General features: G+C 47.0%; 1 annotated feature.

Moving 5' to 3' along the window:
- Positions 11,283-12,482: an enhancer, noted in NCBI's record as "CDK7 strongly-dependent group 2 enhancer chr22:27179387-27180586 (GRCh37/hg19 assembly coordinates)". NCBI's record gives its function as "activates an origin of replication core promoter dependent on BRD2, BRD4, P300/CBP, MED14 and CDK7 cofactors, with strong dependence on CDK7, by STARR-seq in HCT116 cells {active_cell/tissue: HCT116}" and the evidence as "EXISTENCE:reporter gene assay evidence [ECO:0000049][PMID:35650434]".

Genomic DNA, 13,915 nt, shown 5'->3' with positions numbered 1-13,915 from the left:
TTGAGCTGCTGGCCTTCCCCCTCTGTTGCTTCATTTTTGAAATAGGGGTGCTAACTGCACCCATTCTACAAGGCTGCTGTGAGGGGTAAATAGAAGCAAGTGAAGGGCTTCACCCAGCCGAGCACAGAGTCAATTCCCCTTTTGTGTCAGCTACATGGTTAGTAGCATAACTGTATCACTCAGGATAGGATCCATCCTGCTGCTGTAACAAGTAACCCCCAAATCGTCCTACGTTTATTTCATGCTTGTGTTGCATGCCTATTGGGTTGGCATGGAAAAGGGAGGCTCTCATTACTGTCACTCAGGGCCTCAGGTTGACAGGGCACAGTCACCATCTCAAATATTAGCCATAGCCAGAGGGAAAGAGAAATCTGTAGTCTCAAACCTGGAATCAAATGCTCCAGCCTGGACAGGAACATGTGCTCAACTCATTGGCCAGAACTATACCGTAACCCCACCTACCTGCAAGACAGCCAGGAAATGCAAGCTTCACGTGCCCAGAAGGCAGAAAGACAAAAATGTGGTGAACAACATGTCCAACTCCCACCCTAGCAATGGCTCATTTAGAATCCTAGAAGCTTACACATGGAAAAACAATCCTTCAGACCATTTAATCCAACCCTCTAGTTTTTCAGATTGGGGGCTTAGGACCCAGTGAGGGAAAGAGACTTACCTAAGGTCACACAGCCAATTGACTTCAAAACTGAGATTCTGTGTTAATCTGTTTTCACATTGCTACAAAGAAATATCTGAAACTGGGTAGTTTATAAAGAATAGAGGTTAATTGGCTCATGGTTCTGCAGGCTGTACAGGAAACATAGCAGCTTCTGCTTCTGGGGAGGCCTCAGGAAGCTTCCAATCATGGCAAAAGGCAAAGGGGGAGTGAGGAGGTGTGAACACGGCAGGAACAGGAGCAAGGTGCAGGAAGGTGCTACACACTTTTAAACAACCAAATCTCATGAGAACTCACTATCACGAGAACAGCACCAAGGAGATGGTTCTGAACCATTCATAAGAAATTAACCTCCAGGATCCAATCACCTCCCATCAGGCCCCACCTCCAACACTGGTGATTACAATTCGACATGAGATTTGGTGGGGACACAGATCCAAACCATATCAGATTCCAAGCCACGTCTCCTTAGCTCCAGACTAGGTCATCCTGGATTCCAGGATGCTCTCATCCACCCAACAGGCTTCCTCCCAACCCCATTGGCTCGTATGAACCAACACAGTCCTGGACAATGAAAAATGTCCTGGGAGAATTCTGAGAAAGGCTTCTTCTCTCTTTAAAAGGAGGCTGAGAAGCAGAAGTCTCTCTTCTAGGTTTAGATGCTGTTGTGGGAGCCGACTCCAGCAGCCATTCAGTGACCCTGAAGAAATAATGTTGAGTATTTTGTCCCACACTCTAAAGAAGGCAGAAAAGAACTTGACCTTGGATGATGTCATTGAGCCACTGAATTAACCAACCCTGGAGCTAGCTGCCCTACTTCTTTTTTTTTTTTCTGAGACAGAGTCTCTCTCTGTCACCCAGGCTGGAGTGCAGTGGTGTGATCTTGGATCACTGCAAGCTCTGCCTCCCCAGTTCACGCCATTCTCCTGCCTCAGCCTCCTGAGTAGCTGGGAATACAGGCATCCGCCACCACGCCTGGCTAATTTTGTTTTTGTATTTTTTTGTAGAGACTGGGTTTCACCGTGTTAGCCAGGATGGTCTTGATCTCCTGACCTCATGATCCGCCCGCCTCAGCCTCCCAAAGTGCTGGGATTACAGGCGTGAGCAACCGCGCCTGGCACCTACTTCTGACTTCTTATGACATGGTAACAAATTGTCTTTATGGTTTAAACCATTTTGAGTTAGGTCTTCAGACACTGACAGCCTAAGGCATCCTAACGGATAGAGCCCTCATGCTATTCCTCTACCCCATGCCCCTGCACTTCCTTCTCTCACTTGATGAAAACCCTTGCCTCAGGTTTCAGTTTAAGTATCTCTCCCTCCAAAAGTTTTCCTGAATCCCCACCCCCAGTATAGAACACGCACTTCTCATATACTCTGAAAAACACCCTTTCCCTCATAGTGCTTTATCTCATTTTGTACTTAGAAACTCATTGGTGTGATTCTTTGATTTACGTCTTCCTTCTCCTCTAGCATGTAAGCTCCATGAGGAAACAGAAGAAGCTGCTTGGGCCCCATTTTAGCCACGTGTGATCAGCAAGGTGCTGTCCACAGGAAGCACTCAATGTTTGTTGAATAACTGAAGTGATTCGTATGTTCTTGCTCCTTTATTCATTTTTTGATTCCAAAATATTCACCAAGTAAGCTTGAGGAGGCCGAAAGTCTTTCTTCCGTTCACTGATAAATCCCAAAAGCCTGGAATGGTAGTCTTCCACCAGAGAAGCACTCAAATATTTGTTGAGTGAATTGGTAAATGAATTGAACTCCCTATAGGTACAAGAAGCCAGGCTAAGGCTTAGCTTAAAAAGAGAGCAAGAGGAAGCTACAATGATTAGAGTGGTAGAAATGGTGAAATGGTGCAGCCATGCTGCATTTCCACATGTGAACACAGGAGTAATATCTCAGCATTCTGCTGGAAGAAAGCTAACTGCAGGTTTAAAGGAAAGCAACATCCAGTGTTAGCCAATGTCACCATTAACCACGATTCCTGGGTTATCAGCTCCTTGAGGACAGGGACGGTTTTGGGAGAAGCATCTGTCCAGGGGGTGAGACCTGGGTCCTGTAGGGGGCTGGGTTCCCACCAGTCCTCGTGCCAGATGGCTCTCCTGGGCCCCACATCCATCATGGCTGTTGGCCTTGGAGAAAACAGAAGCAACGCTTGAGAGATGGATGTCGATGGCAAATGGGCTGTGATGATCATGCGTCTCCATTTTCCCCTTAATATACATGATAAATAAACTTAATTACACGGAAAATTGCTGCCATTGAAGAATGTGGCACATGTGGCTTCCTCATGTTGCTGAGTGGCTCCTCGCTCTCATGGCAATCCAAAGATTCCAGGAAGGAAACAATCGTCACCCTTGCTGATGCCAGGACCGCCCTCCGAATGGACAAAGTCACATTCAAGGAGAGTCAGAGGAAACTCACTGATGAATCTGTAGAATGTCAGCTCTGAGAAGACCTCGAGTGTTCATTTCATCCAACCACCCATTTTACAGATGGGGATAACTGAGTCTCAGAGGGATAGGCGTAGTGACTTTATCCAGGGCCATAAAATAAAATGCGGTCTCCTCCATCTTCAAATCCTCTATGTTTCTTTGATTCAAAAGACACATATTTCAAATGCCTCTGGGTTTCCAGTTCTTTAAAAAAGCACATTTGGGAAACTGACCCATACCGACTCCATGCTATGTAAAATGGTGAGCACTGTGCCAGACCAGAACCGATGCTCAAAACAAGTTAGCTGCCAGTCATATTGATTTTGTTGTTCTTATCACTACTAATGTTAAACTTTTTATAAATGCAGTTCCCCCAGAATGGAAGAGAGGGGAAAATCAGGACCTAGGGGTAGGCAATCTGGGTGCTGGCATACCATCTGTTACTAACAAACTTCAAAGCCATTCCCATCTCTGAGTCTCAGTTTCCTACCCTGTAAAGTGAACCCCATAGTCTTTTCTCTTTTTAATTTTTATTTATTTTTTTTTTTGAGACGGAGTCTCGCTCTGCTGCCAGGCTGGAGTGCAGTGGCACAATCTCGGCTCACAGCAAGCTCCGCCTCCCAGGTTCACACCATTCTCCTGCCTCAGCCTCCCGAGTAGCTGGGACTACAGACACCCGCCACCATGCCCGGCTAATTTTTTGTATTTTTAGTAGAGACGGGGTTTCACCATGTTAGCCAGGATGGTCTCGATCTCCTGACCTCATGATCCGCCCACCTTGGCCTCCCAAAGTGCTAGGATTATAGGCGTGAGCCACTGCGCCTGGCCAGTCTTTTCTGTCAACCATCAGTAGGCTGTTGGAGACTTGAGGAAGCTAAGGAACATCTGAGTGCCACAAAGATGTAAGAAGTTATACGATAGTTATAGCAGGAGGTTTCCACATCATAGCACTGTGCAGCAAGTCACTGACAGCATAAGCTCCCAGTCCCTGCTGAGATGAAGACAAGACCACCTGAAGCCAGGTAGCTGGGGTGGGGTGGCAGGGGGAAGGAAGATAATAACAGCTGACATCTGTGCACAACCTTCAGCATTATTCAATAGATACCTACACTGGGTATATTATAGGACAAGGGAGGGGCACAAAAATGAGTAAGACACAAGCACTGTCCTCAAGGAGCACATAGTCTAATAGGAGAGACAAACACAGCATCAATCAATGAGTGTGGTGGCTGACTCGAAAACAGCCAGCATTAGCTCCATAGCATGAGGTACAGTCAAGGAGGACCCTCTGGAGGAGTGTAGCTTGGAATGACTTATTCACTCATGCATGCTTATCTGTATGTATGGCATCTAATGATCTGGAAATACAGAGGTGAATAAAACAGATGTAATTTCCACTTTCATTGAGGTTTTCACCCTGAAGCCGACATGAGACTTGTCAGGCCAACAATGGGCCAGTGGGAAGGGTGCTTCAAGCACAGGAAACAGCATAGGGAAAGGCATGGAGGTGTAAAGCAAGTTAGTGTCACCAGCACACAAAGGACATAGCACTAGGCACGAGACGTGACTGGATGGGAAAGCTCTCTCTTACTCTGAAGTTTCCAAAACAGAAATATATAATTCCCCACCTTGCACCATCTACCCGTCTTCTCTCAGAAGTGCACTGTGCAGTGGATGAATGGATAAACCCAATGTGGTTTATCCATACAGTGGAATATTACTCTGCCATAAAAAGGAGTAAAGTACCGACCTATGCTAAACCAAGTGAACCTGGATGACATCATGCCAAGTAAGAGACATCAGGCACAAAATGACGGATTGACTCCACGCAGGGCAAAATGCTGGGTGCTTCGCCAGACTAGAAGGCTCAGTAAGTTACTTTTGCATTGCATGATTCCACTTATAGGAGGTCCCTAGAGGAGTCATATTTATAGAGACAGAAAGTAGAATAGAAGTTACTAGGAGCTGGGGCAGGGGAAATGGGGAGTGAGAGTTTAACAGGTATAGAATATCCATTGGGGAAGATGAAAAAACTCTATGGATGGACACTGGTGATGGCTTTGTCCTCCCATCAGAAAGTACTTACCCCTGTCTAACTTTCCTCTCTCCTGCTGCAGTCACCTCTTTTGATCTTCAGGGAGAGAGAGGCTATTCTTAGAAAGTGGCCCTCATGATGATCCTCCCAGCCTCCACATCCTCTTTAATCTCTACACATTCAAATGGTAAAGGTTATGTTATGTATAATTTACCACAATTAAAAAAAAACTTTAAAAAGGGCACTATGCTACTCTGAGCTATTAATACATCTATATCTCAGAAATAATCAACAGTTCATTCATTCATTCTTTCATTCCACAAATATGTATTGAGCATCAACAATGTACCAAGCATGTTTCTAGGCACTAAGGGTAGAGAGTTTGCAAGAGATGAGGACCCCGCCGGTATGAAGAGGACAGAAACTCGGGAGCCAGACAGTAAACAATTAAATGCATTAATAAACAAGGTAATCATAGACAGGATGAGCTGGAAAGGATATAAACAGGGAGACGTGCCAGGGAGAGATGAGGGAGGTTTTCTACTGTGGAGAGTAAAGTCTCGGCAGAGCTCCCTGGGGAAGCAGCACGTCCCCTGAGACCAGCAGGAATCAATCAGGCAAACAGCTGGGAGGAGAACAAGTCCTTCTGTATAACAGACACTCTTGCATATAATATATTTCTATCCCTGCCTTTCTCACCTAACCCAGGCCTCTCTCGTCGTGGTTCCACCCTAGGAGGATACTAGGGCCTAGAGATGGACACAGACATAGTTAAGGCTCAGGGCCCCCATGTAAGCATTTTCCAGGCCACCTCATCAGAAAGTACTTCCACCTGTCTACTTTCCTCTCTCCTGCTGCAGACACCTCTGTTGAACTTCAGGAAGACAGAGACCATTCTTAGGAAGTGATTCTCATGGTGACCTTCCCAGCTGGCGCATCCTCTACAATCTCTACCCATGTCACCCGAGGCCCACAGTGGGGAAAAGGAGCCCAAGGCCAGGCGGTTGTTGTTGCTGAGATGCCCCAACAAGCTGGTAACTGCAGCTCATTAGTGGTAAGATAATTAAGTCCCAGGCTGGGGCCAGCCTGTGAGTGCCTCTAGATCATCCAAAGGCAGTGGTTTTCTTAATGAAAGGTTCTCTGTTACAAAATTGGGCTCCCATCCATCTCCATTATGGGGGGCAGTTTACCTGCTAATACATACACCACACACACTCCCTGGCAGGGGGTGGCGGTGACACGGAGGTGCAGACTGGCTTTCCAGACCCCGAGACACTGATGAACGGCCTGTTCCTACTGCCACCGCAGCACGGGGAACATCCAATCCTCTCGGGGCGGCTGCCTGCCAGTGTCTGGAGGATGAGGGTGGATGGGCACTTGGGATGGAGCACATTTCAGCCAAGACTAGAAAGTTCCTGCCCCAGGGAGTGTGTTTGCTCCTTTCAGGGTGACTTCCAGTTAGGCAACTGGGAGATGGGATTTTAATGCCAGCTTGCTCAGGGGTGTGCTGGTTGGGCCTCCTCTTTGTGGCCCCTATAGCCAGAGGAAGCTTTTATTATTATTATTAATGGAAGTGAAATTCACATGACCCAGCAATCCCACTTCTAGGTATATACCCCAAAGAACTGAAAACAGGGACTCAAACAAACATGTGTACACCCATGTTCACAGCAGCACTATTCACAACGGCCGAAAGCTGGAAACAACCCACATGTCCGTCAGTGAGTGAAGGGATGAACAGACTGTGGTATACCCACACAAGGGGACATTACTCAGTCTTAAAAAGGAGAGGAGTTCTCACCATTCTGACTGGCATGAGATGGTATCTCGTTGTGGTTTTGATTTGCATTTCTCTAATGATCAGTGATGTTGAGCTATTTTTCGTATGTTTGGCTGCATGTATTCAAAAGTCAAGAAACAACAGATGCTGGTGAGGTTGCGGAGAAATAGGAACGCTTTTACACTGTTGGTGGGAAGGTAAATTAGTTCAACCATTGTGGAAGACAGTGTGGCAATTCCTCAAAAATTTAGAACCGGAAATACCATTTGATCCAGCAATGCCATTACTGAATATATACAAAAAGGAATATAAATCATTCTATTATAAAGATACATGCACGCGTATGTTCATTGCAGCACTACTTACATAGCAAAGACATGAAATCAACCCAAATGCCCATCAATGGTAGACTAGATAAAGAGGAAGCCATTATCCTCAGCAAAATAATGCAGGAACAGAAAACGAAACACTACATGTTCTCACTTATACGTGGGAGCTGAACAATGAGAACACATGGGCACAGGGAGGAGAACAACATTTCCCGCGGCCTGTTGGGGAAGGGCGGGGTGGGGGAGAGCATTAGGGAAAAGAACTAACGCATGCTGGGCTTAATACCTAGGTGATGAGTTGATAGGTGCAGCAAACCACCATGGCACACGTTTACCTATGCAACGAGTCTGCACACCCTGCACATGTACCCAGAACTTAAAAAAAAATTAAAGGCCAGGCGCGGTGGCTTATGCCTGTAATCCCAGGACTTTGGGAGGCTGAGGTGGGCGGATGACCTGAGGTCAGGAGTTCAAGACCACCCTGACCAACATAGCAAAACCCCATCTCTACTAAAAATACAAAATTAGCCAGGTGTGGTGGTGAATGCCTGTAATCCCAGTTAGTAGGGAGGCTGAGGCAGGAGAATCGCTTGAACCCAGGAGGCAGAGGTTGCAGTGAGCCGAGATTGTATCATTGCACTCCAGCCTGGGCAACAAGAGTGAAGCTCCATCTCAAAAAACAAAAAAATAAAAAATTTAAAAAATTTTTTAAAAAGAGTGGAGTTCTGATGTACACTATAACGTGGATGAGCAGAGGGGCCTGTTTAAGACCTAGTATCTCCTTCCCCTGCACAGAAACCTCTGATGGCCTGTTTGTATGACGTCCAGAGTACCTGTGAGAGTCTCCAAGGCCCTGTGCCCCCATGTCCTCTGTGATTTCGTTTCTCACCACGTCTGGCTCACTACACTCAGTTTCTCAGTGTGGCCTTCAGTCTGTGACAGGAACACACTGAGACGGAGCAGGACCCCCTTTTGGCGGTCTGCATGCCCCTGCCACCAAGAATGGAAATAGAGGAAAATTCCGAGTTCCTTCAAGGGAAATTCCAGGCACCTAGCTAGCCCTAAGAGGTAAATAAGTAATTTGAGGCTGGATGTGGTGGCTCATGCCTGTAATCCCAGCACTTTGGGAGGCCGAGGCGGGTGGATCAGTTGAGGCCAGGAGTTCAAGAGCAGCCTGGCCAACATGGTGAAACCCCATCTCTATAAAAAATACAAAAGCTAGCTGGGCGTGGTGGCGGGCACCTGTAATCCCAGCTACTCGGGAGGCTGAGGTGGGAGAATTGCTTGAACCCAGGAAGTGGAAGTTGCAGTGAGCTGAGACAGTACCACTGCACTCCAGCCTGGATGACAGAGTGAGATCCTGTCTTAAAAAAAGAAAAGAAAAGCAGCTTGATAAGCAAGAGGGTAATAGTAACAAGGCTAAGACAGGAACCAAGGAAGTTAGTCAGATGTTTGATTCCCCTATAGAAACTAAAAGTAACATCTTAACATATGCCCCTGAGTTGTTTTCCAGAACCCTGAACCCCCACCAATGACCCCCACTGAACAGCTCTGCTGTCACCTAAACCTCAGATAAGGGGGAGCTGATGGCTGAACTCTGACCCCCATTTTTTGTTCTAAATTTCTTCCTGAGGAGTCTGGAGAGAGTCAAACCCCAAAGCCAGTTAATGTTCTTCTCTGCTGACCCCAAATTTTAAACAAAGCTTCTCTTCCTTAACCAGTTACAAATCAGATAGTCTTTGAATCTACCTATGACCTGTAAGCCTCTGCTTCAAGGTATCCTGCCCTTTTTGGCCAAGACCAAGGTGTAACCTCCATGTATGGATTTACAATCTTGCCTATAGCTTCTCCCGACATTTACCCCTGCGTTTAAAAACACTTACCTGCAAGCCATCGGGAGGTCAGGATATAAGCGTTAGCCGTCTGGTCCTCCTTGCTTGGCACCTGGTAAATAAACACCTTTCTTTCCACCACTGCAAGACCTCCGTGTGGATATCTGGTCTTACTGCACCAGGTAACTAGACCCTAATTCAAGTCTATTATGTTGGTGCAAAAGTAATTGCGGTTTTTGCCATGGAAAGTAATGGCAAGAACTGCAATTTCTTTTGCACCAACGTGATATAACAACACTGATAAGAGTGAGAAAGTTGCTTGCATAGACAGGGAGGGCTTTGGGAGAAGGTGGACTCTATCTGGTCCACCTTTGGGGACCAGAGGTCCCCAAACGATGCATTTGGGGAATGCATCGTTTCCTACCATTTTAACAATAAAACTCACAGTCCTGTGCAATGCTCTGAGATGGGAAAAGAATGTTGTTTCATTCTAATACGTCTGGGAAATTTGCTCCAATCCTTTGTGGAGCGTCACGATACATGTCAGAAGTTTAAGTCCCTGACAAGGCCTGCAGTAAAGGCACCTGTTGGAGTCCTGACCTCTGTAACACATTTGAATGTGGATCTGAGCTAGAGTAATTTTAGTAAGAAGTTTCTGCTATTTTTAGCTCTAAGTCAAGAAGTCTCTTTTTCACCTCTTCGTGGCTTGTGGTGAGGCAGAAAAAAAGGGGTAGCAGAAAGATTAGCATTCACTGAGAATTTCCGCTCCCAACATGGGGCTATGTATTTCATACAACTTGTCTTATTTGTTCCTCACAACAATCCTATGAGGTGTGTACAATTATGATCCCCATTTGCAGAGGAGGAAACTGAGCTCAAAATGACTCTGTCATGTCCACATGACTAGAGAAGCCATTTTTTCCTGGCTCTAAGCTAGAGCTCTTTGGGTCCAACCTACCTCATCTTACTACCTGGAAGCTTGACTGTGGTTCCCAAACCTCTGTCCCTATCCAGCCTCTCGATTTCTCTCCAGATCTTCTCCACGCTCCCTTGCCATCCCAGCCTCCTTTGGAAACCAAGGGGTTAACCTCTCCTTCCTGTTTGCCCAGACTCAAGTTCATTACGCTGACTAATTGATTCCGCCACTGCTAATGGAAAATGTATCTGCAAGTAATAGATTAATTGGCCACTTGTGATCAGCTCTCAACCAGAGGATCACTGGTGGTCATGCTAGACCCACTGAGTCAGTCCTTCTGGAGCCAGGAAAGGGAACCAGAGGTTAGACTCAAAGGGATCATGGGGGTGTCCAGAGTTTTACCAACTATCACCCTCACAAAAGGCCAGCCAGCTGGTTCCATCCCAAAGGAGGCAGATTCTGCATCCTAAGTCATTAAAATGCAAGTGCATTAACTTGAAAAGAATGGAAATCTTAACAGCATAATGAACCACAAAATATCAGAACACTGGCACATCAGCTTCCCTTACCCCCAAATGAGGGAAGGGGGGTTGCTTTCCTCAGAAGGTTTAAAGTCATTCGTCATAAAATAACAGCTACCAGTTTGCTCACTGACTATGTGCAATCCACTGCATGGTTTCATTTAAACTTAGCAAAAGCCCAGGCGGCAGGTGCTATAATTATCTCATTCCACAGAAAAGAAACGGGGCTCAGAGAGCTGCACCAACTTGCCCAAGGTAACACAGCAAGGAAGTAAAAAAAAAAAAAAAGTGGGCTGCGGGGAGACCTCAGGTCTGCAAACCCCAAAACCAGATCTTTTATCCTCTATCCCAAGGATCAACAAATGACAACCTATGGGCCAAATCTCGCCAACCACCTGTGTTTGTAAATAAAGTTTTATTGGAACACAGCTATGCCCATTCATTTACATATTGTCTTGGCACCCCAATAGCGCAATGCACCACAAAACTTAAAGTATTTACTATTTGGCCTTTTGCAGGGCCAGAATAAGTTTGCAGACCGCAAGCCAAGTTACCCTTCCCAGCTGGTGCTACTGGTACCTTAATGAAATGAGGGCGGGATGACTATGGGAGAAAAGGCTGGTGTGAACCTGGGGATCCCAAAAGAAACTCAGTCTCCAAGATGCACAGGCTGTTTCCTCAGATTATAAGGAAGGTTTCTTATGAGTCTAAGAGCAGAAAGGAGAAAGGAAGAGAGATAGAGAAGAACAAGCCTGAGCCAGACTTGGAGATGAAGCTGGGTGAGAACCAGATCTGATGACAGAGGGAGTGATGCAGGAAGGAAACCAAACCAGGGAGGCTGGTGAATGCAAATCCGTATCTCAGGACCTACCCTCTTGCTTGCTTTAGGACTCCAGAAACGTTTGCCTCCCTTCAGATACCCTCAGTTTCTCTGCTAGAAAATGGGGGTAATGATGGTGTCATCTGGAGGACTCAGCAGGATAGAGCATACGAAGTGCACAGCAGGCACACAGTAGGCACTCAATAGATGCTTGACAGATGAATGAAGGACTCAGCTAGAGATCTCAGAGGTCAAATTTTGCAGAGTTCCACCTTTGCAGCAATGGTAAGGAAGAAGCTCCCCCGACCCCCTCCTTCCTCGCTCTATGGGCTGGTACGGGCAGTTTTACAAGGCTGAAAGAGTCGCCGGAGGCTGTAAAGACACGAGGGCTTTTTCCTTTAAGTCTTCCCTGTAAGTCACCTCGAAGCATTTCCGGGATCGATTGGCTCTTCTCCTCCTTGTAGGAGCCCTCCCCAGGGAACTGTTTGCCGAAAGGAATCGGCCAGTTTGCATTTAGTCACCTTTATCTGACCCAGGAGATAAATCTCTCTTCGTTTCGTTTTTCTGCAGGGAGGATCCTGGGAGGCCCGCGCCGCACCACACAAATGCTGGAGACCTCGTCCATTCAGACAGTGATTATTCCAAATGAGAGATGATTCGAAGGCCTGAGGAAGTTGGTTGTTCTCAGAAAAGGAAGAGGGCATGTAGAGGCACAACGGCAAAGGTGCATTTAAGCTGCTTCAAGGAGCTTCTAAGCCTCCTTCTGGGGATGCCCGTGCATGGATCACAACCCCGGGAATGGGCCACTATGGGCAGAGAAAAAGGACACCACTCTGCCGAGAGGGACTTCAAGTTGAACAGAGAAGGGAATCCTAGCCACAATATCCTAGAGGCCACGTGGTTTATGAAGCCTGGATTTCAAATCCCAGCTCCTTTACACTCACCCCAGCAGCAGCGTCCTGGGTAAATGGCTTAAATGTCTTCTTTTCTGCGTCTCATTTTCTTCCTTTGCAAAAAGGACATAACGATGCTGACCTCATAGATACTGACCCCATAAAATGGTCTTGAGGACTAAATGAGCTTCTACACATAAAGAAAGGGCTTAGCACATGGTGAACCCTCAATACAGGTTGCCATTCCCACTCTATTGTTGTTTGGCTGATGCAGAAAAGCAGAGGCTGTTATTCACACACTGACCCCATGCCCCCTCCCACCAATGTGCAAGGTTGGTTTAACCCCACCACCACCCCCAGCTTCTGCCTCTCCTAGAGAAAGTTGTCCTGCCAATGGCAGCTTTACACAGAAGACGCCACTGGCTTCCCCCAAAGAGGTGGATCTTGTGCCCAGAGATTCCGAACCTCTTCATTCATAAATTTCCTTCCAACATTCGAGGTCCCCTCCTCAGGGGTCTCCTTTCAGATGCCTGGGATGGCTGAGGGTGCTTTGAAGTCAGTCTTTCTGCGAAGGGCTAAAACTCTGTGTGCTCCTTCCCATGGAGGACACAAGTAAGTGGCAATGCTTACCCCCAGGAAGCCATCACAAACTGAGGTCATGCTGACACTATAGCCTTGGCCAGGAGGGATGTTTTGGAGCGATCTGGAGTCCTGGTGCCTCTGACCTCCCACTGAGTCACAGCAATTAAGGGTTCAGCATAAGACAGACCACCTTTCCAATCCCAGATTGTCACTTTCTACCCTGTCCAGTGGCTGAATCTCTGCAAGCCTCAATTTCCTCATTAGTAGAATGGGAATATTAGTTGTATCAGCCTCATGAGATTATCATACAGTTAGCAATGAAATATATTAAAAAGCCTTCAGGTGTCTGTGCTTGGGCAGGGATAGGTATTATTAACAAAGAGAGCCTCCAACTGCAAGCTGAACACCATGGCTTTTCATTCCATTTTGGCCACAAACTGCTTAACAACTTTGGGCAAGTCCCTGCCCCTCTCTGGGTCTCAGTTTACCCTTCATACTCTCCAAGACTCCCTCCCCACTGGGAGACCACCATGCTGGGCTCACGTCTGTTGCACGTGACCTCTCAAACTTCTGTTTGCTCTGTCTTCACCCAGCGTCAGCACCGACTCTGGGTGGTTTTGCTCCTGAATCTCCACATTTGCCAGGGATACCTGCCTATTCATTGTGTTTCTTTTCTAGGAGCAGAAAACTAAGGTTGGCCAAGCCAGGGTTCAACCGATATCCTCTGCTTTTTTTGAATCATGCACACACACACGCACACACACACACACCTTGGCAGAACAGCCATCTCCTGCTGCCTTCATCTTCCCATGCCCCATCACTTGTTCATCCAGAAGTCCTTGTCAGAATGTCCCTCCAGGGATCAGCAGGTGGGAAATGTCATTTTGGATCCATTACTAGAGCTCCAAGGTGCTTAGAGATGATCAACACCAATTTCAACTTCCATCCACGGAGGAGGGAAGGTCGGGAGCAGCCCTCATCTCTGGCAAGGGGATCTGTGCTGGCCACCCCAGGCTGCCAGGTACCAGCACCCCAGGGCAGGGAAGGAGGGCAGCTTGCAAGGGCCGGGGGATGTCAGCCACTCTGTGTCCTCAGA

Source organism: Homo sapiens, chromosome 22 (genome assembly GCF_000001405.40).
Source record: "Homo sapiens chromosome 22, GRCh38.p14 Primary Assembly".
Taxonomy (NCBI): domain Eukaryota; kingdom Metazoa; phylum Chordata; class Mammalia; order Primates; family Hominidae; genus Homo; species Homo sapiens.
Note: the sequence above shows the minus strand (reverse complement) of the source record. Positions and strands in the feature narration are given on the sequence as shown.